At 39.6% G+C, this 23,494-nt stretch overlaps 1 long non-coding RNA gene across 1 annotated transcript, besides 2 other annotated features; it reads left to right on the top strand.

The window, feature by feature from the left end:
- Positions 16,499-17,121: an enhancer, noted in NCBI's record as "NANOG hESC enhancer chr15:96454690-96455312 (GRCh37/hg19 assembly coordinates)". NCBI's record gives its function as "activates a minimal SCP1, AML or CMV promoter by ChIP-STARR-seq in naive H9 embryonic stem cells {active_cell/tissue: H9 hESC(naive)}" and the evidence as "EXISTENCE:reporter gene assay evidence [ECO:0000049][PMID:30033119]".
- LOC124903582 (uncharacterized) lies at positions 17,087-22,445 on the top strand. The gene is made up of 2 exons (XR_007064799.1): positions 17,087-18,144; positions 19,285-22,445. It is a non-coding gene; the product is annotated as an uncharacterized LOC124903582 (long non-coding RNA).
- Positions 17,192-18,119: an enhancer, noted in NCBI's record as "OCT4-NANOG hESC enhancer chr15:96453692-96454619 (GRCh37/hg19 assembly coordinates)". NCBI's record gives its function as "activates a minimal SCP1, AML or CMV promoter by ChIP-STARR-seq in naive H9 embryonic stem cells {active_cell/tissue: H9 hESC(naive)}" and the evidence as "EXISTENCE:reporter gene assay evidence [ECO:0000049][PMID:30033119]".
- Positions 22,446-23,494: the final 1,049 nt, after the last annotated feature.

The raw sequence follows: 23,494 nt of genomic DNA, 5'->3' as shown, positions 1-23,494 counted from the left end.
AATAATTCTTATATTTTTATCTGGTTTTGAATCTCATTTATTTAGAGTTGCTGACTTTTTAGAGTGGTTATAGGGTGCCGTGTATGAAAGGTGATTTGAAATTTTGTCTTCGAGTGCAGGGTTCCTAGTTACGTCATTCACACAGGCGCACTCACACACATTCATGCACGCACGCACATACACACAGACACACATCCATTCCCCCAAGGCTTTACAATAATGTATCATAATGACTTGGATGCATGAGTTTGCAGCCTTTTGGAGGGAAAATTCTTAACGGGGACACAAGGATTGTTTGAGTGCTAACATCAAGTTGCCAACGGAATGCTACGTTATAATAATGATGCGTTTCCCTGCAATATGTTGGCATGACCAAGGAAGTCATGGAACCTGGCATCAGGGAACCTGAAAGTAGTGACTCCTCCATTAGAAATCTTGGTAGTTATTTTCACTGCCTGGTCTGGATATGGGCATTGATGACATAGCTTGAATGTTTGTGTCTCCTCCAAAATTCGTGTTGAAACTTAATTTCTAACTTAACAGTAGTATTAAGAGGTAGGGCCTTTAGGGGGTGATTAGGATATGAGAGCTCTGCTTTCATGGATAAGAGTAGAGGTCCTTACAAAAAGAACTTGATGAGGGAGAGAGTTCTCCCTCTCTATCTTCTTTTGCCCTTCAGCCTTCCATCATGCGAGGACACAACTTTGGCCTCTTCTGCCATGTGAGGACGTAGCGACGAAGTACAGTTTTGGAAGCAGAGGATGGGTCCTCTCCAGGCACTGAACCTGCTGGCACCTTGATCTTAGACTTTCCAGCCTCCAGAACAGCAAGAAATACATTTCTCTGCTTTATAAATTACCTAGTTTCAGCTATTTTGGTGTAGCAGCACAAATAGGCTAAAACAACTGAGGAAGGATTTGGGGATCTATTCTCTTACACCTTGGCCTTTTCTCTGGATAGAGATGAGCTCACTTAGAGAGTCTTTCAAATTCAGAAGGAAAAGTAGTTTGCTCACAAGATGCTTATATTTGTGATAAGACTTGGGGTGGAGGTCATTCTCTTTGGAACGAACTCTGACTTCCCTTGATCCTGTTTTCTCTCTGGGGTGTGGAGAGGTAGGATGGGATGGGATTTCTGCTATAAGGAAGACATTCACACAAGGCCGCATGCCTAGGTACCATCAAGTACCTTCCATTCACTGTGAAACGTGAGAAGCCAACTACTCCCCAAATAACATTTAGGCTTTGACAATGTTTCCCTCCTATTTTCCAGCTCCTGTCCTAGGGAGCTTGAGGACAAGTGCTTCTGAGTGCCCAGAAGAGACAGAATAAAGCCCATTTAGAAAAGCTCTGGGAGCTTGATGAGACTTGCAGGTACGAGAAAATCGAATTGGTGTCCAACAACACTATTTTTCGGTGATAACTGCTTGCAATTGCTAAAACTTGCTGATGATAAAGAGAGAAAATAGAAAACCCTTTGTCACTTTGAATGTAAAATCATCATCATCATCATCATCATCACCATTTATTAAGATAATACCATGGGCCAGGCTCTGTGCTAAGTGCCTTGCATATATTATATCTTTGATGTGTGAATTAAAAGTGACCTTCTTGAAAATTTAAAAGTATTTGGGTAAAAACCTCCATTTTATTTATGTACAGTGGGAAACTCAGTGTCTCTCCCTAAACCTCAGAGACTCCTCGGTTTTCTCTAACGTCTGTTGACCTAGTCTGATCTGGGGTTCTGACTTTTCTTTTCTTTTCTTTTCTTTTTTCTTTGGAGACAGACCCTTGCTCTGTTATCCAGGCTGTAGTGCAATGGTGTGATCTCGGCTCACTGCAAACCTCTGCCTCCTGGGTTCAAGTGATTCTCCTGCCTCAGCCTCCCAAGTAGCTAGGACTACAGGCGTGCACCACTACACCTGGCTAATTTTTTGTATTTTAGTGGAGACAGGGTTTTACCATATTCCCCAGGATGGTCTTGAACTCCTGAGCTCAGGCTGTCTGTCTCGGCCTCCCAACGTGCTAGGATTATAGGCATGAGCCACCGCGCCCGGCCTGGTTCTGACTTTTCTTAACCGTTCACTCTTACTGGCGTCTCACCTCCTGGGCCTCATCCCTCTGTTTCACATTGACAGGTCCATGGACCATCTCTTTCCATGGTTTTTAAAAAAAACCCACTTGCAGAAAGCATTTGTGTACACAGCAAAGTTTAATAAGCTGGAATAAAAGAATTGCACCACAAGAGAGCAAACAACTCAAAACTTAATGCTGGATTACCGGCCACTCCAGCTGACTAGGTCCCCCCCTCAGACTCCAGCTCTGAGACAGAGCAGCTCTCCGGTTAAACTAACATGAGGCATTTGGGTAAGTCTTTTGGACTTCAACTATGCTCAGAGTAGAAATGGGAGGAGGAAGGTGACTTGCTTCTGAAGGACTTACCTACTAAGTTGAAGGCTGCAGAGAAAGAATAGTTGACAGAGACGATCGGAGATATCCTTTATCAAATACACCAGGCATAAGAAAAGGGGAATTTAAAATCCGGCTTTCTGGCCGGGCGCAGTGGCTCACGCCTGTAATCCCAGCACTTTGGGAGGCCGAGGTGGGTGGATCACCTAAGGTTAGGAGTTTGAGACCAGCCTGGCCAACATGGGGAAACCCCATCTCTATTAAAAATACAAAAATTAGCTGGGCTTGGTGGCACACGCCTGTAATCCCAGCTACTTGGGAGGCCGAAGCAGGAGAATCTCTTGAACCCAGGAGGTGGAGGTTGCAGTGAGTTGAGATCACGCCACTGCACTCCAGCCTGGGCAACGGAGCAAGCGTCCGTTTCAAAAAACAAAAACAAACAAACAAACAAAAAGCCTGGCATTCTCTAGTCACTTATGAAAAGAATCAAATGGAAAACTGTATTAGGTTAAAAACAAAACCAAGAACAGAAGAACCTATCTATTGGAATGCTGGCTTGTAGAAAGAGTTCAATGCTAATTGTATGACATTTCCTTAGTGTGGGGTATCTTGTATAGTGTGTTGTGATTATTTTTAAAATCAAAATCATCATAGAAAAGTGAGTGTCTGATTGATAACCTTTTATTTTATATAGCTAGGCCATTAGGTGGCATGTATATAGAGAAATGATTCTAAACTATATTTCCTGTAATACAATAATTTCTGCTTTTCCGTATTGACTATTTGCAATATATCAATTGGTAAACACAATGTATCTGGCACAGGGGCATCCAATCATGACACAGACAGCAGGAAAAACAATGAACTGAAAATGTTGCAATGCATTTCGTGAGGCTGGATTTATTTACTCATCAAAAGCATTAATATCCACACCCCTGTGAATTCTTTCCTTAGATAGTTCTCTTTTTTGTAGATACAAGCATCAACTTTAAGAAGAAAGGTTTGAGGACCACCTGGTTATCTCTTAGTTCCCAGAATAAAGTCACCAGGGCCCAGGAAATATCCAGGAGATAATAAATCAGTGAGTTCCCGCAATGAAGGAAAGGGGAAAAATAACCAAAAAGGAAATCGAAAAGATTTAAATTTCAACTTTAGGTTTTGAAAGGATTATTAATATAAACAGCCTTAGGAAAAAGGACGTTTTGGTCAACATCCCATACAATTAAATGTAATACAACTTTTTTTTTTTTTTTTTTTTGAGAACGAGTCTTGCTCTGTCACCCAGGCTGGAGTGCAGTGGCACGATCTCGGCTCACTGCAACCTCCGCCTCCCAGGTTCAAGCTATTCTCCTGCCTCAGCCTTCCGAGTAGCTGGGATTACAGACACACACCACCATGCCCAGCTAATTTTTGTATTTTTTGTAGTGACAGGATTTCACCATGTTGGCCAGGCTGGTCTTGAACTCCTGAACTTGTGATCCGCCAGCCTCAGCCTCCCAAAGTGCTGAGATTACAGGTGTGAGCCACAGCGCCCGGCCTGCAATACAAGTTTAAAACAATGATACACATGCAAAAAGTCACCTTAAATGCTCGTCCTCGATTCTCAGGATGGCATTCATCTTCTTGGGACTGGGAAAGGCCTTTACATAGTTTTTATTCTTCTTCTTCAGTTTGCTTCTAACCCTAGTAATCAATAGCAGAAACAGAAAAGCTGAGGAAAGCCAAGATGCTTCCATTTCTGAGCATCCCTCCTCGTCTGTTCCCTGTGGCTGGGCTTAGAATCCAGTCCTGCCCCCAGAGAGCTGGGTGTTGCCCCACCATTCCCAGCTCCAATACCTGCTCCTTGCTTGGAGCAGTGTGAACTGTCAGTAGCTCGTGGGCTACAAAGATGCTGTGGGACTTTGAACTCTTTTTATCGTGAGCTCAGTGGACCTTTCCAAGCCCCTCATGAGCCTAACAGGTGAACTGTCAACAGCAAGGCTGGGGAGAGGTCTGGAGTGTTAGGGAAGGTGAGTTCTGGGTGCAGTATTTCCTGTGTTTCTATAGGAACTAGTGGACAGAGATCATTTTGTGTGTTTGTGTTTGTGTTTGTGTGTGTGTGTGTTATAGATTTTAACCATCTTAAAATGAAATGACTAGTCAGGTCCGGAGGTGAAATTGTGAAACTGCAGTTAGATTCCCAGGCTTTCACAGCTGCTGAGCAACTGTTCCCCAACCTCGGTTGTGAGGTGTGTCTTACGTCATTTGTTACTAATAAAACAAAGTGCTACAGTTTGTGGGCAACTTACTGATTTTATAAATTAGATTACCTTTTCCTAGAACAACAACATTCACACCGACTTGCTTTCTGATATGCTTTTTTAAAAGTGCTTTATCTCATATCGATAAGCAGGTATATCGCCTACGCAAACTGACTTTGATAATTATAGATGAATATTTAGCCATTGACGTCACCTTCATTATTAGCCTTTTTTTTCCCTGAGACTTTCCTTATTGTAAATATCTGCATCCTGTGATATTTCTGCAACAGCGGCTTTAGTACATGGCTTCATGGAGACAAGTAAATGGGTCGTGAAGTCTCCCAGGTGGGACTGTGACTTATTTTCTCATTAACCAAAAAACCTAACACAGGCTCTGCTATGTAAAAGGTACTCAATATATTTTTTAAAAAATAATTTTTTATTTCTTTAAACCCCAGCAGATATATTTCTTTCCTTTCTTTCTTTTTTTTTTTTTTTTTTTGATGGAGTCTTGCTCTGTGGCCCAGGCTGGAATGCAGTGGCACGATCTTGGCTCACTGCAACATTTGCCTCCCAGGTTCAAATGATTCTCCTGCCTCAGCCTCCTGAGTAACTGGGATTACATGCGCGCCACCACGCCCGGCTAATTTTTGTATTTTTAGTAGAGACGGAATTTCACCATGTTGGTCAGGCTGGTCTTAAACTCCTGACCTCGTGATCCACCTCCCAAAGTTCTGGGATTACAGGCATGAGCCACCGTGCCCGGCCCCAGCAGATATATTTCAATTCGCATAACAAATGTGCTCATAAGTTGTAAGTAAACTAAGATTTTTTTTCCCTTAACTGGATAAAATTTGAGGGGGGTGACTGTTTTTTTTTAAAAGGTGTGGTGGTTTGGAGTTGGGTTTCTCTTGCAGTCCAATACACTGCTCTCAAATTTATCTACTTTGTAAATCCGTGCCTTTATATAAAATATTATTCTTGATAACATTTGCCTTTCTAGAACTAGTGGTAGTAAATGAGGTAACTTTGTCTTTTTTCATTTTATTGAACTCATACTATTTAAGATATTTGTTCAAGTTAGTAGGCTGAGGGACAGAGCTCAGAAAGGTAGTTCTAAGTGTAAAGTTCCATGTCTGAGCCTCAGTGTCCTTGTCTGCCCTCAGCTGTTCTGATGACTTTTAAATGAGGGAGTAGTTATGAAAGTACTCAGAGCTGTACAAATATAAGCATGTTGTCGTGAGTGAGGTGCTCAGGCAGAAAGGCTGCATGCACAGGTATGTAGGGGACTCTTGTGCCCAAATTGCAGAATTACAGGAAGTGGCCAGGGAAGGGATATCACCATGAACCTCTGCTGCAGCCTGGAGTAACAGACCATCAAGTTGGGGGAACACTCGAGAGAGAGGCATGTCTGTGGAGGACTGACCGCTCGGGGAACCATTCCTGCCCCGTGTTTGTGATCTTAACAGCCTGCTGCTCGTATCATTGGTCGCATCTGAAATTTAAAGTTTTATTTAAAATTCAAGCTAAAAAAATTTCCCAAGCCCTGCCCAGAGTGTCCAGGTCGCATTCCCTGCTTGAGCCCTTGTGTGCTGTCTCAGTCCACATGGAAAAAGCTCTGACTGAAGCCACCGCCCTGGGTTGGAGCTCCAGTCTCGTAATTCCCCTAACTTGACTTTGCTTCTCCATCTGCAAAATGAGAGTTGGGAGTTCGATGAATTCTAAGAGCTCATTGATTCATATTAACATTAGCCCAAATAAAACACAATCAAAGACACATTGGCAGACAAATACGAAGATTACCTTCATCCCAAAGTTAAATAAAAATGACTTTATTTTCTATTTGGCATTCATTATACACGTTGTAATTTTCTTCTTGCGACTGGAAAAATCCAGAGTAAATAGCTAGCACACAGAAGGATGTCCTCCGGCTTTTACTCCCTCACTCTTTCCCACTAAGTCTCTGTCATTTGCACGCGTCTTCCCCAATATTTGCATTTTTAATCTGTGACATCTCTTTTACCTGAATTTAAAGGAAGATGGTGTTTTCTCACCAGATTTGTAAAGTAAAACAAAATAGGAATATAAAAAGTTAAACGGGAAATTGTCATCGTTTCATTGCCTTGGCTGTGACAGGGTTACAGAGTGTGCTATTTCAATGCAAGGTCACTACTGTACTCCAATTCAAGCTTGTGTTTCCCAGAAAGTGGAATGATGCCTAGAGAAAGTGAACCACTTCTTTCTGTTGCAATGCTTTCCAGCACCAGTGAGGTTGTGCCTTCACTTTCTCCTCCCCAGGAATGTCCTGGGGAGGAGAAAGGACAGTTGTTTGACCTCTGCAGCAAAGCCTTATCTTGGGTGGAAGAGGAGGCTGATCCTAAAAAGCAGTCAATGTTCTCTTTCACATGTCTGACTCCTCAAATGAGTCCTGATGGTGAGAGAGAGAGAGAGAGCATTGAAACCTGTTTTAAATGTATAACAGACCAGCAAGAAATATTCTAACCATTTCATTTTCCAAAATGTGAATTGGAACCACAGACTGGAAAATCAAAACTATATTGAATGGAACCCCCCCCTCCCCACCCATGCCCAACAAGACATTGGCAGCATTAGCCCTGGTATTTATTGCTCATTTTAACTACAGTGCCTAGCAAGCACTTCCCCAGCCTGTATCGCAAAAAATATGTATGTATATAATTTATATACTTAATATTTTGCCCTAGCTTTCCTTGCCTATTTTACAGTGTTGGAGACTGTTTGTGTGTTTGCTATGTATCAGTTGACACCTCTGTAAAATCTTTATATTGAATGCCTTTGGCAACTATGTGCCAAATAATAGCGTTGCCATTTGTAATTTTTGTAGTTCCAGTTTTCCTATAAGCTTGGCTCTGTGTGTTACAAGTAGGAAAGGTTTAAAAAGCCTTATTGATGCTTCTTTCTAATGACCTTCCTCAGTGGTGTGAGTCAAAATCACTATTCCCTGACTTTCCTGTTCTTTTCTTCCATTAAAGACTCTAACTAGTTAAAGAAACGTGTCCTGTTTTGAAGATGCATTGCCCATAACACAATTCTGCTCCAGGAGTCTCTCTTATTCTTATTCAACTTATTCTTAAGTTTGGGGCTTTTAGACATGCTTGTTGCTCTCCATAGTGTCCAAGAGCATTATTTATTTTTATTTAAGACCTTTCCTGCTTTCCTGAAGACTATTTGAGGTTGTTTACAACAAAGATAATTAAATGATGAAGTAGATGAAATCACATAGAAAAGAAATCCAAAACTGTGTTAGACATGGATACAAACTTTATTCTTAAAGTGTAGGTTGATATATTTCTGTGAGTTAAGTAGAATGCAAACTCAATGAAAGCAGGAACTTTGTTCACTGATGAATCTCTATTGTCAAGTTTAGTGTCTAGACATCAGTATGTGCTCATGTATAATTGTTATTTATCGAACCAATATTAAATTCCATTTGGATTTTCCCAGAAGCTAATACATGAAGGGAAATGTGACAGGATATATAAAGTTATTGTAGAATATTGTACACTTAGAGCTCTTCTGGTAGTTAAAAAGACTTCATCTTACAGATGAGAAAACTGAGACCAAGTGAAAAGACTTGCCAAAGAAAAGTTCTAAAACTCAGACCTTCAGATTCCAAGGCCAGGGAGCTTTCTACTGTATTAATGTTGCAGTAGATAACCATGTTCACTCTATGCATAATAATCTATTGATATGGGCACAGAGTATGTTTGTGTGTGTATGAAGAGGAAATCTTTTTATTCTGATTCATCTATACTCTCCGCCCATTCCCTCTGGAAGGGACATCCTTACATAGTTGTAATGAGGTCTGGAATATCTTGCATATGCCTTTATCTATACCCAGTTGCCCAAGAGCAGGCACAATGAAGTGATCAAACAGAGGTAGAATGTTGCATATAGTTAATAACCTACACCTGCTATATAGAGAAATCAATTTTTTAAAAATATTTGAATTCCCCTATGTTGAAATATTTGCAATTCATTTATGAACAAAATTCAGCCCCTTACTTTTTAAAAAATTTAATATACTTTGTGATTAGCAATGCCAAAAAGTCCTGTATCTAAATTTTGTAGAAAAACATAAGCAAATTATAAAGTCTCACAAGTTGGATTACAACCAATTAATAAAGCAACTGTATCAATCAGCTGTGGGTGTGTGTGTGTGTGTGTGTGTGTGTGTGTGTACAAGCATAATGCCAATTTTATCTTCTTTGAGGGCAGTGAATCAGCATTTTTCCACTCCCAAGCTATGTGCTTATAGTAGGACAGCTCCTCACATACACATTCTTTCAATATGCACACACACCAGTGATGGACCTATGACCCAAGTCAGGTCGGTGAGAGCCAAGTTCCTTACCAGTTCAATTCAACTTAATCTCCTACATGTTGAGTGTCTACTACTACAGTCCTCTAGATCTTTAGAATCATGATATTTATATAGTAGGACAGCTCCTCACTTCAACACTCAATTCAATATGCAGGCTCACCAGTGATGGACCTGTGACCCAAGTCGGGTCAAGTTCCTTACCAATTCAATTCAACTTAATCTCTTGCATGTTGAGTGTCTACTACCACAGTCCTCTAGATCTTTAGAATCATATTTAGAATGATAATTCAGAGGTATTGTGTAAAATTCTAAATGATGGAACAAAATTTAATTATAATCGAGAGCAATTCATTGTAAAATATGAAAACATGCCCATACATTTAAGACAAATTCCCAATAAGTTGAAACAAAAAAGCTTTTCTGTTTAATTTTCTGTTTAAAAAATTTAATTAACTGGAATTTTAATCCCCTAAGGATCTTAATTAATTTAGGTTTGATTGTAAAAAATTTCAAGCATTTTGCCTTTTGGAAATATAATTAACAAAATTGGTTTAATGAAGTGTTTTCAATGAAAGAAGTTAGCAAATATTATTTAAAACATAAACTGCCCTAAAGTGACAAGGAAGATAGGCCCTTTCAAGCTTTAAAATTATATATTACTAATTATTTGAATAATTAAACCACAATCTTTAAAACATTTTTTAAATCTTTTATTCTAACCACATATGTTGCCTATACTTTTTTCTCAGTTACAACACTTTCTAGTGTACTGTGCAAAAACAAATGAATTACATGATCAAACGGTTTTAAAATTAGTGCTATTAATGCAAAGTTTTTGCCGCGGAACTTCTCAGAGCCTTTAATATGCAAATGTGCCCAGCAAATAATACTATAATTAGTACTATATGCAAAGTTGTCTAAATTTCTTTGGCTTTGATATATGTTTTATGAAGCACATCTTCTAGGAAAAACACTTCAGAAAATTCTGCTCTAGGCTCATTTTAGTCTAAAAATTAAGAAGAGTTTTGAACCCTTCCTATTCTTCTTGCTATCTATTAGCCTTGTAACCTGTACAGGTTCATTGTGCTTTATTCAATAAACACAATTATTTACACTAAAGACCGTATCTCCACCTCTCCAACATGAATCAGCAATGTCCACTTTTGAGCAACTCACGCTATTCTGAATAAGAGGAGTTCTATAAACCTAGGTCCTAGTCCAAAGCTTAGGGATAGATGGCCTTTCTTTCTTTCCCAAGCATTGTCCTTAGATTTCCTGGCCAACTGTCTTTTGTGGACATGCATTATTTGATGCATGTTGCTGGGGCCTCAAAGTGATGATAAGCCAGAGGAGAAAAGTGTTGAACAACAGGAGAAGAAAAATAACTAAGAATACACTGTATTCAATAAGGAGGACCCAGAAAAAAATAGTTACATGTACTTATAGTTACTATTTTTTTTAATGCCCAATCGTCCGTGGGACAAATTCTGCAGTATAGCCAATAGCATTGTGTTCATTGAGAAAACTCTCGATTAGATTTCTGCTTTAAGATGGCAATTTCGTGCCATCTCATATCCATGAGGCCTGGGGGAGGGGGAGGCTGCAGATCACATTTTGCATCATAACGTGATCATTTCAGCATTCAAACTCCAGATTAGAAATTTGACATTTTAAAAATTCCACTGAAATTGGACTACAAAATATAATAGGTTTAGGCACCTGCTCTAATAAGATTGCGTAAAAATATCCCAACAGCCTTACCATAAACATATTTTACAATATCAGAGTCAAATTTTATTACATCATTATAAGAATGTTCCACTGGGCCACATGATTGGCTGTTGTACAAGAGCAGGATGCTGATACTGTAGCACAAACATACTATCACACTTCCCTAATAAAAGTTTTATTGTATCCCCATGCACATTAAAAACAACACTAACTCCACTAATGCATTGTAATTTACTTTTTTGTTGTAGAACAAATAACAAACCTGGTGCTAATGAGCTCATATTTTCCATTATCCCAAAGCAACCTGTTCGTATATCCAATCTTCTGAGATTTTGCCTAAAAAGTGAAATTCTCTTATGGGACAATGGTGTGCACTAGTCTAGAATGTTTTTTTTCCCCTACACCTCCTATAGCCATCACATCATGTTCTAAACATCTGTTTGTTTAAATGACACAGTTAAAACATACATTATTTGACTTTCACGGTACTATACTTTTCTTCAAATGGGAACACACAAGATTCTTTTGTTAAAACTGTCTTTTTCTTTGATAGCTTTTTTCATGTTCCAATAAACATAGGTGTATTTGTAGCTAAATTACAAATACAAGGACTCACTGTCATCACTTTCCCTTTGGCTGTCATCTGAGTGGTTGTAAGTTTTTTAGTACATATTTTCAATTTGGCAGGTATGAAGTACCAGAAAGAAATCAATTTCTTATAAGACATGGATGATTGTTTTTATACCTTCTTCTGGTGTTGTTTTAATGAAGCTATTAAATGATTAAGCATTGTACTTTTATAAATTAAACCACTAACAAGGGACATTGTGACTCCCATGGTTTTTTTCAGCTTAGAGTAAATTGACTTATCACCCAGCTTCTCACCAATGCAATCATTCTCTTACTGTCAAAGTTCCTGGGTGTTTGTTTGGAATAGTGGTGATGGTGAGGCGGGTGGAAGGAGCAAAATGTCGATTACACTTGAGGGAAGAGATTTCAGAAATCTGAGAAGAAAAATAGGAGTCACCACAGACCCTGCTTATCCAGAGATAGGACATTTCTCTATTGTAGACTTCAAACTGTGGTTATCTCAGGCCTTTTTTGTTTGTGTGGGTGTCTTTTTTGCCTGTACTGGCAGCACTCTCTGCAGAGTGGATGGTGGAGGTTCTATGGGATAAGATAGAGAAGAACATTTCCGTATGTATGATCTCAGTGACTCTCTAAATAAAGTTTCCTGGTGTGTAAATGTGTTGGCTATCTATCATTGTGCCTCTGTTGTCACTGTCTGCTTTTCCAACATTAGGCAATTTAAGATTGTGTCTACACTGCACACACACAGATGCACACACACACACACACACACACAGAGAGACAGACACTTGCATCCTGTCAGACATTTGGGTTTAGAGGCTTACAATGATGTTGAATAATCTGGTTTTTTAGGTTTTGACTTTCCAACACGATGTAAGCACTGCCAAAGCCTATTTAGATGTATTCATTATAAAACTTGTTCCTGATTCAAAATGAGATAATATTTATGAAGCAATCTTGATAAGTACGAAAATCGTGACCTGTGTGAACTGCACTGTGGCTAGTTCTTTTAGAAAATGTTTAAGTATAACTTACACAACCTGAGAACATCTTGTGTCCCAAAAGACTGAATTCTCAAGGTTATTTATAGACCACTGGGGTATTTCTATGTCCTCATACTTTTTTTGGAAGCGTGTAGAGTCATGTTAATGAACCAAGAAAATCCCTGTGCAATTTTCCTACTGTTTATGAAAGTTATTGTTACATATCACATTTAACTTTAGCATAGAAGAAAATAATAATAACAGCTAAAAACATTTATTTTTCACTTATTATGCACCAGGCTCTGTTTAGAAGGGTTTGCATTTATTAATTAATTGATCTGCAAAAAAGAAAAACAAAAAACCTGAGACTTTAAGCGTTATTAGCCCCATTTTACAAGTGATAAAACTGAGGCACAGAGAGGTTAAGTAACTTGGCCAGAGTTACAAAGCTAGGAGGCTAAGATTCAGGTTTTGACAATCCGCCACATACGCCCTTGCTTTTAACCTCTACAAAACATCCAATTAAAGTGCTCACTGGTGGACTGACTATGGCATAAAAGGATGAATTGTTGGTCTTAGGAAGTAGGAAGTATGAAATCTCTCATCCATGCCAGTCACTTTGACCCCAGGAATCTCCTGAGTAGTACCATAATAATATAGTTTATCTGGAGGCTGGAGGATTGTGAAATGACTGTAGGCTAAACCAGACTAATGGTCTACCAAGCAGGGAAAGACATTTCTGTCAGGCTGATAAATTGCCTTTTTAGACTATTAATTCATTCATCCATCCATTGATCCATTCATCCATTCTTCCATCTTTTCTTGAGCCATGCATCTCCTATTCCTACCTATCACTTTCTAGTGATAATGACACTGGTCAATTTTATGATTCAAAACTCTATCTTCTTCTCATTTTAATTTAACTAAACACACCTAAATTTGACCTATAACTGATCCATTTCACTCTTTTTGGTCTCTGGGCAAGTCCAGGTCTTCATCTGTGAAAAGTGCTAACAGCTGCCTTACTGTTTTAATTTTTTTGGCTGGGGGTGAGGGTTATAATTAAATGAGATAATGTATATACATCACCAAGAACGTAGTAATAGGTCCTAGGTCAACATTTTCCTTAAAAGGAAAACTAAACTCAATTAGCAGTCACTATTAAAATGAAATAATGAAACCATTAAGAGAAAATATGGATGAATATATTCTAGTTCTTTTCTGAGTATAAATGGAAACTAAGAAAGTATAAAAAACTACATTAACATTAAAATATCTATATAATGTACATATGAAAATTAAATATTATACAATTTAATTTGAAAATCATAATCTATAGTGAGTTCTTAAAAATTAAGTAGATAAACAAATAGAAAATAGTAACCAATAGAACATAGGACATAATTTGATAATTCAGAAAATTTATAGAGATAGCCAAAGGAAACATCAAAAAATTTTTCACTTACAATGGCAATGGAAGAAATACTTTTTTGGGAAAAGAAATTAAATTATCAAATAGATTTTTTTAAATTACGTTTTTAGTTTTTTATTGGCCAAAGCAAAAAAAATGCTTGTTATGTCCTTACTGAAGTGCAAATTTGCATTTTTTTCAGAAGCCCAGTTGGTTGTATTTATAGAAAGCCTAGAAAATAAGCACATTTTTACTCAGTGATTTTTAGGACAATTTTAAGATATTAAGAGAGCAGAAGATGCTCAATGATTCCTTGGGAGGGATACAATGAAGTATTCTTCAAGACAGCAAAACTTTGAAATTAATTAAATGTGTAACAATAAAGAATGGTTAAATTAAATTAACTATGGTGAAATTGTAGGAAAGAAAAATATATTGCTATTAAAACAATCTTAACTGAAATGGGAAATATTCAGGATGTAATAATGAGTTTGACGTGGTATGCTATGGAGTGGATGCTATATAGAGTGCTGTACTGACTTTGCAATATGTGTATATGTACAGTGTGTGTATGTGTAATGAGTGCTTACATGTTTTAGTTATTATGCCAAATATTTTCTATACTTTTTGTGAATTAAATGTCTTATTATAGATAAAGAAATAGCAAACAAAGAGGATAAGTAACTTATCTAACCTCTTACTACAATAAAAGTCTTATCACTTTATGAGTGGTGAGACCAGGATTTTAACATTCACATATTTGACATAAAACATATCCTATCCACCAGTATGACTCAAATGCCTCAATATACTTCACTTTACAAGGAAACCATCCCCCCTCCCTACACAGTGGATAAAGAGTGGATATGTTGGTTTTAATGTTCCTCTTTCTATAACTGCCTGCTCCTTGCCTGTTTACTTACCTGTCACAGATAGGTAGGGATAAAAATTACACCCTCTAGAGAAAGACAGATCTACTCTAAGTCTGGACTCTGTCACTTTTACAATTCTGTGGTCTTGGGTAAGGTATTTCCATCACAAAATTGTTATGAAGATTAAGTGGCATATGCCTGCAAGCCACTAAGCTTTACAAGGGTCTTGCAAATAATAAGTGTTCAATAAATAGTAGGAAATATATGTGTGTGTCTTTTGCCAAACGTTCTTTAATAAACATATTACTCTTATATTCAGAAAAAGTGCAATAAATATTGTCAAAAAAATGAAGTAAACCAATGAACTGATGTAAGCCTCCAAAAGTTGCTTAAAAAAAAAAAAAGAAAGAAAAAAAAGCAAAGCCACCTTTGTCTGGACATTATATCACAGTTGTGGCTGCTAACCACAGGTGGGTATGGAAGCCCGGAGGGAAACCAATTATGTGCAAATCCTTTGACTTAATGAAAAATAAAATTAAGCAGACTAATACCCAGCAGGTACTTAAACATCACCTAATATTATGAAAGCCAGTGTTTCTTAAAGAGAAAAAAAGTCTCTGGAGGAACTGGAGGAAGAAGCAGCCCTGACCTAGGAAGAAATTTCATATGTGCAGCATGATTTTTCACAGCACACCTGAAAATCACCAAGCAATTCCTCCCATAAGTGACCTATTTCTCTGCCAGGGCAAAGGAGTTGACTCGTACCTCAAAGCAAACGATTTTGCTCTATGACAAATGGTACTTAAATTTAGGTTCTGGTGTGCTCTGTACGAAGTGATAATTAACATTTATTGAAAGGATTAATTTATTTATTGAAAAGCATTATTTTATTTTTTAATGTACCAGATAATGCCTTTTATATTTTATTTACATTAACTCATCTAATTTTTGCAGTAGCCCAAGGGAAAGATGTTACTATTTTCCCCATTTTATAGATTGTGAAAGGTCACACTGTTGAACCAGAGTCCATGACCTTTCCACTAAAAAATGCTGGCTCGTGGAAATTCATGGAGTTTCCAGAAAAATTCATTAGAGGTAAGGCAAACCCAGAGCTAAACTTATTCCTACTTTGAATCACCACTTTTGGTGATCAAAGTCCTCTACTAATTGAAGAGAAAATCACCCATTAAGGCTCGCTGTCCTGTTTTTAATGATATTAGCCAAGGAAGGGTTGGGGAGTCACAGGACAGAAGTCAAATTGGGAAGACCCAAAGATGGATGAGCGAGTCTGAAAGTGGCGGACAGTTCTGGGCTCTGCTGGGGACTGGGGAGAGGACTTGGAAGAGAATCTTGCAGCCTCCTCACCAGGCGCCTGGTACTACTAGCTGCCCATTCCCTCAGAATCATTGCTGAAGATCTGCCGCACCCTAGACATGCCTCTTAACTGGTTTTAAAACAAACACGTCCATGTATCTGAGGTCTCTGAACTGGGGTTCACTAGGTAGCTCATTAGTAACTTGTTGCTCACCAGCGTTTGGGAATGTTTGCAGAATTTCCCTTTCATGGCATGAAAGAGGACTCTCCGATAGAAAGTCACACAGGGATATTTTGAAATGGCTGGGAAGGTAATCTGATCCACTCTCTGGAATGTTTTCTCATACCAGCAAAGTGGCGTTTGTCACCGGTTGCTTTTACCAGTTGTTGGGTGGACCATTTTTGGTAGCCCTTTTCTTACCCTCATTCTTGTTCCACTTCGACTCTGTCTCTCTGATTTTCTTTTCCCCTTCTTTCTATTTCTAGGGCAGTTTCTCTCTGTCTCTCTGTCTCTGAATGTCCCTCTCTGTGTCTCTCCTTCTTGTCCCTTTTCCCTAACAGTCCCCTTCCCACCGCTGGCTCAGGTCCTTCTCCTGGTAGCAAAGGCATTTCTCATCCAGACCAGCAGCTTGCATGTTCGGGACTCCAGCTATACAACATATACGGCCTTCAAAGGTTTCCGTGGAGCTTTTCATGTAAGATGTAGTTATTAATTCTCCTTCAGTGTTTAAAGACTCAGCCGGTGGGAGTGAAAGGTGGCCTATCCGCGCCAGCTGAAGAGCTGGTGAAATCTTGGCCTGATCTGTTATCTCCCAATGCTTTAAAGGTCTTTGACTGGGAGATTAGAGAACAAGGTTACAGTGACAATTTGTTTACACGCAGGGAGAGATTAAGATCTCGTTGAAAAGGAATAAAAATAACATCATCTTGAGCTGTCACAGCGTGAGCCCCATTGTAATCAACACTGGTCTGATTTCAGGGATAATTTAAGACCAATTTATTATCTTAATTAAAAAAAAAAAGAAGGGAGAATTCAGTGTTTCAGATGCCAGTTAGATCTTTGGACAATGATGCCCCTGGAGATTCCACATACAAAATAGAAAGCTCACAAGATGAGAATCTCCTAGGGGATAAAAATATACAACTTTTTTCCCCTTTAATTTCTTTTTTAAGGTACCAGCATCAAGAGAAGATGAAAAAGCAAAACGAAGTCCTGTTTGAATATTGTGACTGTTTTTAAAGACAGATAAAAGGGTAAAGAAAATAATTCCCATTCATCCTTTTGTTTAGTTTTTGGCATTGTAGCTAAGATTCTCCTAGCAATTGTTTTCCCCTTCTGCCTTAAGGAAATCCGCTAAAAATCTTGGGTTTTGGCAGGCTCGATTTTCTCATTTTCCCTCATAACTAATTCTTCTGCTTTTTAATCCGGAGAAACTAGGAACAATCCGGCCCAAGATGGAAATAAGTCTGGGAAGCTGCGAAGAGTGTGATTTCCGATCGCACCACCCACCGGCCTCCCGCTTCAAAGTTCTCCTGCCCAGTGTGAACCTCACTTCTGGCTTTTTCTACAAAAGTGGCCATGAGCGCCCAATGCACAGAATGAATTCGGCTACAAAGAGGCCTTTGAGAGCTCCCGAGGAAGTGCCCCACTGGGAAACCAGGTGGATGGCAAACGTTCCCTTTTCATTACAAATGAGTTCAGGGACAGGGCCACCCTGATGGGACTCTCAACTCCATCCGAAAGCTAAGCCCCACCAGCCCACTCATTTGAAAACCAAACAGGTTTCCTTCTGCCTCCCCATTCCCTGTTCACAAACACGTTTACAAGTGCTTGATAGGTGACCTTATTTACTTAGTAACCTGTGGATTCATTTATCTTGAAATTAGTAGGTAATGAAGTGGAAAACCTCAACAGCCCTCCCACTAATTAACATGATAATAAGATTGTTTTGCTACAGAGGTACAATTAGCATGTATGAGCCAAAGGGGAAGAAAGATCAATAAAATGTCTGAAGGGTACTACTCCCAGGTCTCCAGAGAAGAACAAAGAAGGGAAACTACAGATTTTAAGACCCATCCGTGTAAACACATCCAACTCTGAGACCGGACCCTACTGAAATGATTTGATGCCTGCTGGAGAAGGAGGTGTGGAGATAACTGAAAGGAATTAATTATAAAGTACACATTTTGGTGCAGTCGATGGCCTTTGAAAATAAAAGGGAAAAACTGGGGTGAGTTTCAGCTGCTCATCTTAAATATGCTTTGATGGGGGTGGGTGGGGGTATAGAATGTGGTAATTACCCCTATAAAATGGTTCCATTTGTTCCTTTTCTCTATCCCCCAAAGTTAAATGGCTCAGATATAAAACTTAAAAGGAGATTCTTCTTGCACATCTAGTGTCAGCATACATTTTCATGAGGTGCTTTAAGACACAGAGTGCACAGCTCAAATATTTATTTATTCCACAGACTGAGGTGTGTAGAGTAAATAAATATGACTTTAAAAATTGCCTCAATATGTATTTACCCAGTAGACTCATTTCTTGGGTAAATTACATGGATTTTGGTAACCTTCCATGACATTTTTCCTTGATTTTAAACATACACAAACAAAGAATTTAAATGTCCAAAGTGTCTAAATAACCTAATTGAACTTGTGACACAAACCAGGAAGAGCCAGGAGACTTGGTTGTGGCAGGAAAAATGCAAGGGTTCTTTGATAGATAAAATGAAGGAAACTTTCAGATCAACAGCAACCCAGGTTGACTGAGTATCACCAGTGTTTTGTAGGAGACTCAATTTATAGCATTCTTCATAAATACAAAAATATTGTGTGTCACATTTCACCGCTCCTGTCTTCTGTCCTCCCTTGAAAACATAGATTTGTGTTTTCAACACAGTAGATGGTGAAATGTGACACATAATATTTTTGTGTCGCATATAGATTTTCCTGTGAAATTCCACAAATGATCACCCCTAAAACGAATGCTCTCCATTGCACTGGCCATCTGGCTTTGCATTTGATTTTTATGATAATAATTCTAAAATCCCTGTATCGCCCACCACGTTTAAAACTGGTTGGACCCAGTATATGGACAAGAAGCTTCTGGCACTGACAATAGAACATTCTCAGCACAATTTCAAATAGGAAATCTGCTTAGCTCTTACCAGTCTGAAAAAGAATGATCTTTAGTGGATTTTTCAAGTGACCAAGTCAGTAATGTTTTCATTTTGGAAATCATGTCAACTGATGGAAGTTGTTGATTTGCTTATATCATGAAAGGAGACTTTGGAGGGAAGTCATTTTCCATTTCTTTGTTTTTCTTACCTTTCCTTTTCTTTTTTTTTTTTCTTCTCTCTCTCCCTAACCAGCATCTATAGGTTTTTAAAAACCTGGCCAACATCTACGTGCTTTGCATTAATTTTTAAAGGTAGATTATAATTGCTTGAAATTTACATCTTTGGAGTGAAGAGGAGAACCCATTCTTATTTCTGGAAGGCATTTCCATGATTTTCTGAATTGTCCTGGATTTAATTAGCAGTATTTGGGGCCAGTGAATGGCAGAGTTCTGAAAGAAGGGCTAAGCATTCCTGGGGAGAAGCTGGAAGTTGCTTCCTGAACAGTCATCCTAACAGTCATCCTACTAGACACTAAGTAGGGCTGGGGGCCCATGTGTGTTGGTGGACACCAAGGAATGCTTTGAGCGAAGGACCCTGGGGAAGAAGGAAAAGGGAAGGGCTGTGCACACGAGATCTTCTTGCTTCCTCCTCTGCACACTGGTTTGGTGAAAGGCCAACGCGAGGCTCACTCTGATGATTATCCACTACTTAGTGAGAAAAACCAACACTTCTAGATTTTAAGTAGATGCACAGACACCTGCACAAGCCCCTGGTTTTTTTCTGATGTTTTTAGCCTCATAACAGACCTTACCTTTGACTTACTGGGTTGTAAGAATGTGGGAATTCTTACAATGAGAAACCAAGAGAGCCATTCACAACCATATGTAAAAAGGATTACCAATCTTTTGGAACTTCGGCACACCATTTTTTTCTCCATTCCATAGCATTGTCACATAACCGAAAACGCATGCCCATATAGGGCACATGCAAATTCTAAAACCCAAGTGAATTTACTTTAAAATAATTTTTATTTCAGAATAACTTGAGAATTTTCCAATATCTCCAGAGATCATTGGAGGCACCCTAGGGGGTCATATAATCTTGCCTAGGTAAAGCTGCCCTAGAAAAAAGAGTATTTTAATAACCAAAGTCGATTCCTCTTAGGAAGAATTCCCTTTGTGTTCTATAACCTAGCTTTAAATCCAAAGTCCTCATCTTTGAACAATCAGAGCAATATGATGTAGCCCAGGAGAGTCAGAAGTTGAATTCCATTCAGAGAAATGTGCAACTCGGAGACATGAAACTGCACCGCATTTGCACTGGCTAAGTCTTTCAGGGATAAAACAATAGTCCCCACTTGTTGGGTGCAACACATATCGTCTAGTTTTCTCAATCCTCAAAGGTAAATATTAATGCCTCCATTTTACAGATAGCAAAACTCAGGCTTAGAGAGCCCTGTAGCCATCTCAAAGTCCAACAGCCAGTTGAAAGAGAGGTGGAATTAAACGTAAATTCTTTTGGTTCTAGCAAAAGCCCCTATCAGTATCTCACCGTCTTTCTTGGGATGATGAACTGTCTTGCTGGAAACCCCCTTAAGAGCCAGTTTTGAAATTGTTTTGAAGTCCCCCTGACCTCTGTCTCCAGAAAGCATTTATTCTTTGGTGTACTTACTATATTGGCAACTTATGTTAATAATTTTTAAAGCCATGACCCACTGTGAGGTGCTAAACATTTCTTCTGGCTAGAACTTCTCCGACAGCATATATAAAGCTTCTCACAAGTTAACAGCAAGCTTCCTTCATTTGGTTTTAATGACTTTGTAAAATAAATACCCAAGATTGTTACTAAAAAATAAAATAAAGTGTTTCAGTGGGAGAATATAGAAGATATAAATTTAACTTAATATAATTCCCTTACTCCTTGTCAAGGGTGAACATGTGACGAGAAATTTTTAGAAGGGCTCCGATGAGCTGGTTGTAATAAGTAGCCTTTTTGGCCTAGATTTGTATCTTCCTTGAGAATAGTAGTAATTTTCGAGTTTCTTTCCAGATTTTTTTTCCTTGCATATCCACTGTACAATTGGGATCTTGTCTCAAGGTGTGAAGCTTTTGCAAATTTATAAAATCATGTCGTCTGCCTTGCGTTCTTGGGAAGTACCTGACATGAACAAGACTGAATCCCCAGACTGCTCACAAGATCACAACTGCCTCTCTTGTCACCCGGCTCTGTGAGCGTGGGCCAGTTTGGCATCATTCTGCTGTTTGGACAGCCCTGTGGAGGCACAGGTCGCTGAGCATTGTATTTCATCCACACATTTTCTCAACAATGTTGCCTTGCAGTTTGAAAGACAAGCAGGGTGGCCCAGGTATCACATTCCTCCAAGTCTCCCGGGCAGGACTGAGCTTTAAATGTGTGGGGACCAGTAGCACATGAGGAGCCTCCCAGGTCAAGGGAAGGCTTGGGAGGCTTGCCACCGTTGTCTACTGGGGAAGGAAATCCAGGCCCAGTTAAAACCTGGGCTCCTGGGGAGCTGGCTGGGAGAGAGGGCATGTGAAGGTTAGGAGCCGCTGGAACAGGTGTGATGTTAGAGTCTCAAGTGAGAGGATGGCCATGGTTTTTCCTCATCTTCGTGCTTAAAGTAGTAGTTTTAGAAGAGCTTCCAGGTGCTTCTGTGAGTCAGGGTTCTCATGCACTCGTGCTAGTCACCCCGGTAGGTGACTTCAAGGCACTCTGTTCATAGCCCCTGGTTGCACACTCACAGACAGAAAGTGAGGGACCCATGGGATGTGTAAGGAGAAGCACTCTGCCTACAAAACCATTAGCATCCTAAGACTGGTCACCATGGGACAGTGACGACATGACTTTTGGCTGTCAGTCAGTCCTTTTGAAATGGAGCATGCAGTTTCTTTCTCCCCTCCCTCCCCTCCCCTCCCCTCCCCTCCTCCCTCACCCTCCCCTTCTCCTCCCCCTCCCCCACCCCTCCCTTCTGCTCCCTTCCTTTCTTTTCTTGACAGAGTTTCACTGTTGTCAGCCAGGCTGGAGTGCAATCACACGATCTCAGCTCACTGCAACCTCCACCTCCGAAGTCATTCTCCTGCCTCAGCCTCCTGAGCAGCTGGGATTATAGGCGCCCGCCACCACATCCAGCTAATTTTTTTTGTATTTTTGGTAGAGGCAGGTTTTCACCATGTTGGCCAGGTTGGTCTTGAACTCCTGACCTCAGGTGATCTGCCCACCTCAGACTCCCAAAGTGCTGGGATTACAGGCATGAGACACCGCACCCTGGCCTGTATTCTTTTCTTTTTCAAGCCAGTCAAACTTAACAGTGGGTAATTCTGTATTCTTTATTGGGGTGAATGATAGTTACTAAATATGATCTACTATTATCTAAAATAAATCATCAGTGCTTTTTATTTGGTTATTTTCTTTTTCTTTTCTTTTTTCTTTTTTCTTTTGGTAAAGAAGAGGGATTTATTTGGCTCATGTTTCTGCAGGCTGTAGAAGAAGCATGGCACCAGCATCTACCTGCTCAGCTTCTGATGAGGCCTCAGGAAGCTTTCCCTCATGGTGGAACACAAAGGGGAGCAGGCACATCACATGGAGAGAGAGAGAGAGAGAGAGAGAGAGAGAGAGAGAGAGAGAGAGCAAGAGAGAGAGGGGGGAGGGAGGTGCCAGACTCTTTAACATATTTGGTTATTTTTAAATGATGAAACTCATGAGCGTGTGCTGCGAAGTCTTTTATTTACATCTAGCATTTATATGTTATTTAGTGTTGTTTGTCTCCTTGTTCTGTGTGATGACCAGATGGCACAGGGTTGCAGGAGTGCATGGTATTTGGAGTTAGGCTACTTCTCAGGAACTGTTGTTCCTCACTGAGCCTCTATGTCCTCATCTGCAGAGTGACAACAAGCGGTTTCTTGAGGGTTGCTAAGGGGACCTGAAAATTGATCCTGGCATGTTGGGGCCGTTCACCAGGAGGCAACCTCTGTGTTTTTTGTTACATGTACTCTTGAAACAGGTTTGAATTCATAGAACACACCTGGCCTTCTGCTAAAGAGAAATAAACTATACAAATGGTCCCAACATCTTCAGAGATCCATTTGGAGGAGAGCAAAAATCCCTAATATTCATGCTGAACAGGAAGTCCATGGATTGAAATCCCTTACAACTTTGCCAAAAGAGGTGATTTAGTCTCTTTGCTGCCCATTCCCAAGTTACAGAAACTCCCAGAGCCATAGTTGCTCCTTCCACAGCTGAATCAAGAATTAGCCTCCAAAGTCAGAGCATGACCTTGCCAGAAGCTATTCATTCATTCCCGCCTGCACTCAGGCACCGTGCTAGGCAGTTGGAACACCACAATAAGACAGACAAGATCCCACCACTTGGTGGGGGAGATGAGATGGAAAGATATGTTAAATAAATGAAACAAGCAGTGCACTTGGGATTGTGAAGAAGGCTGGGG

Source organism: Homo sapiens, chromosome 15 (genome assembly GCF_000001405.40).
Source record: "Homo sapiens chromosome 15, GRCh38.p14 Primary Assembly".
In the NCBI taxonomy this organism is placed as follows: domain Eukaryota; kingdom Metazoa; phylum Chordata; class Mammalia; order Primates; family Hominidae; genus Homo; species Homo sapiens.
The sequence above is the reverse complement of the archived record's forward strand: the minus strand, read 5'-3'. Positions and strand labels throughout refer to the sequence as shown.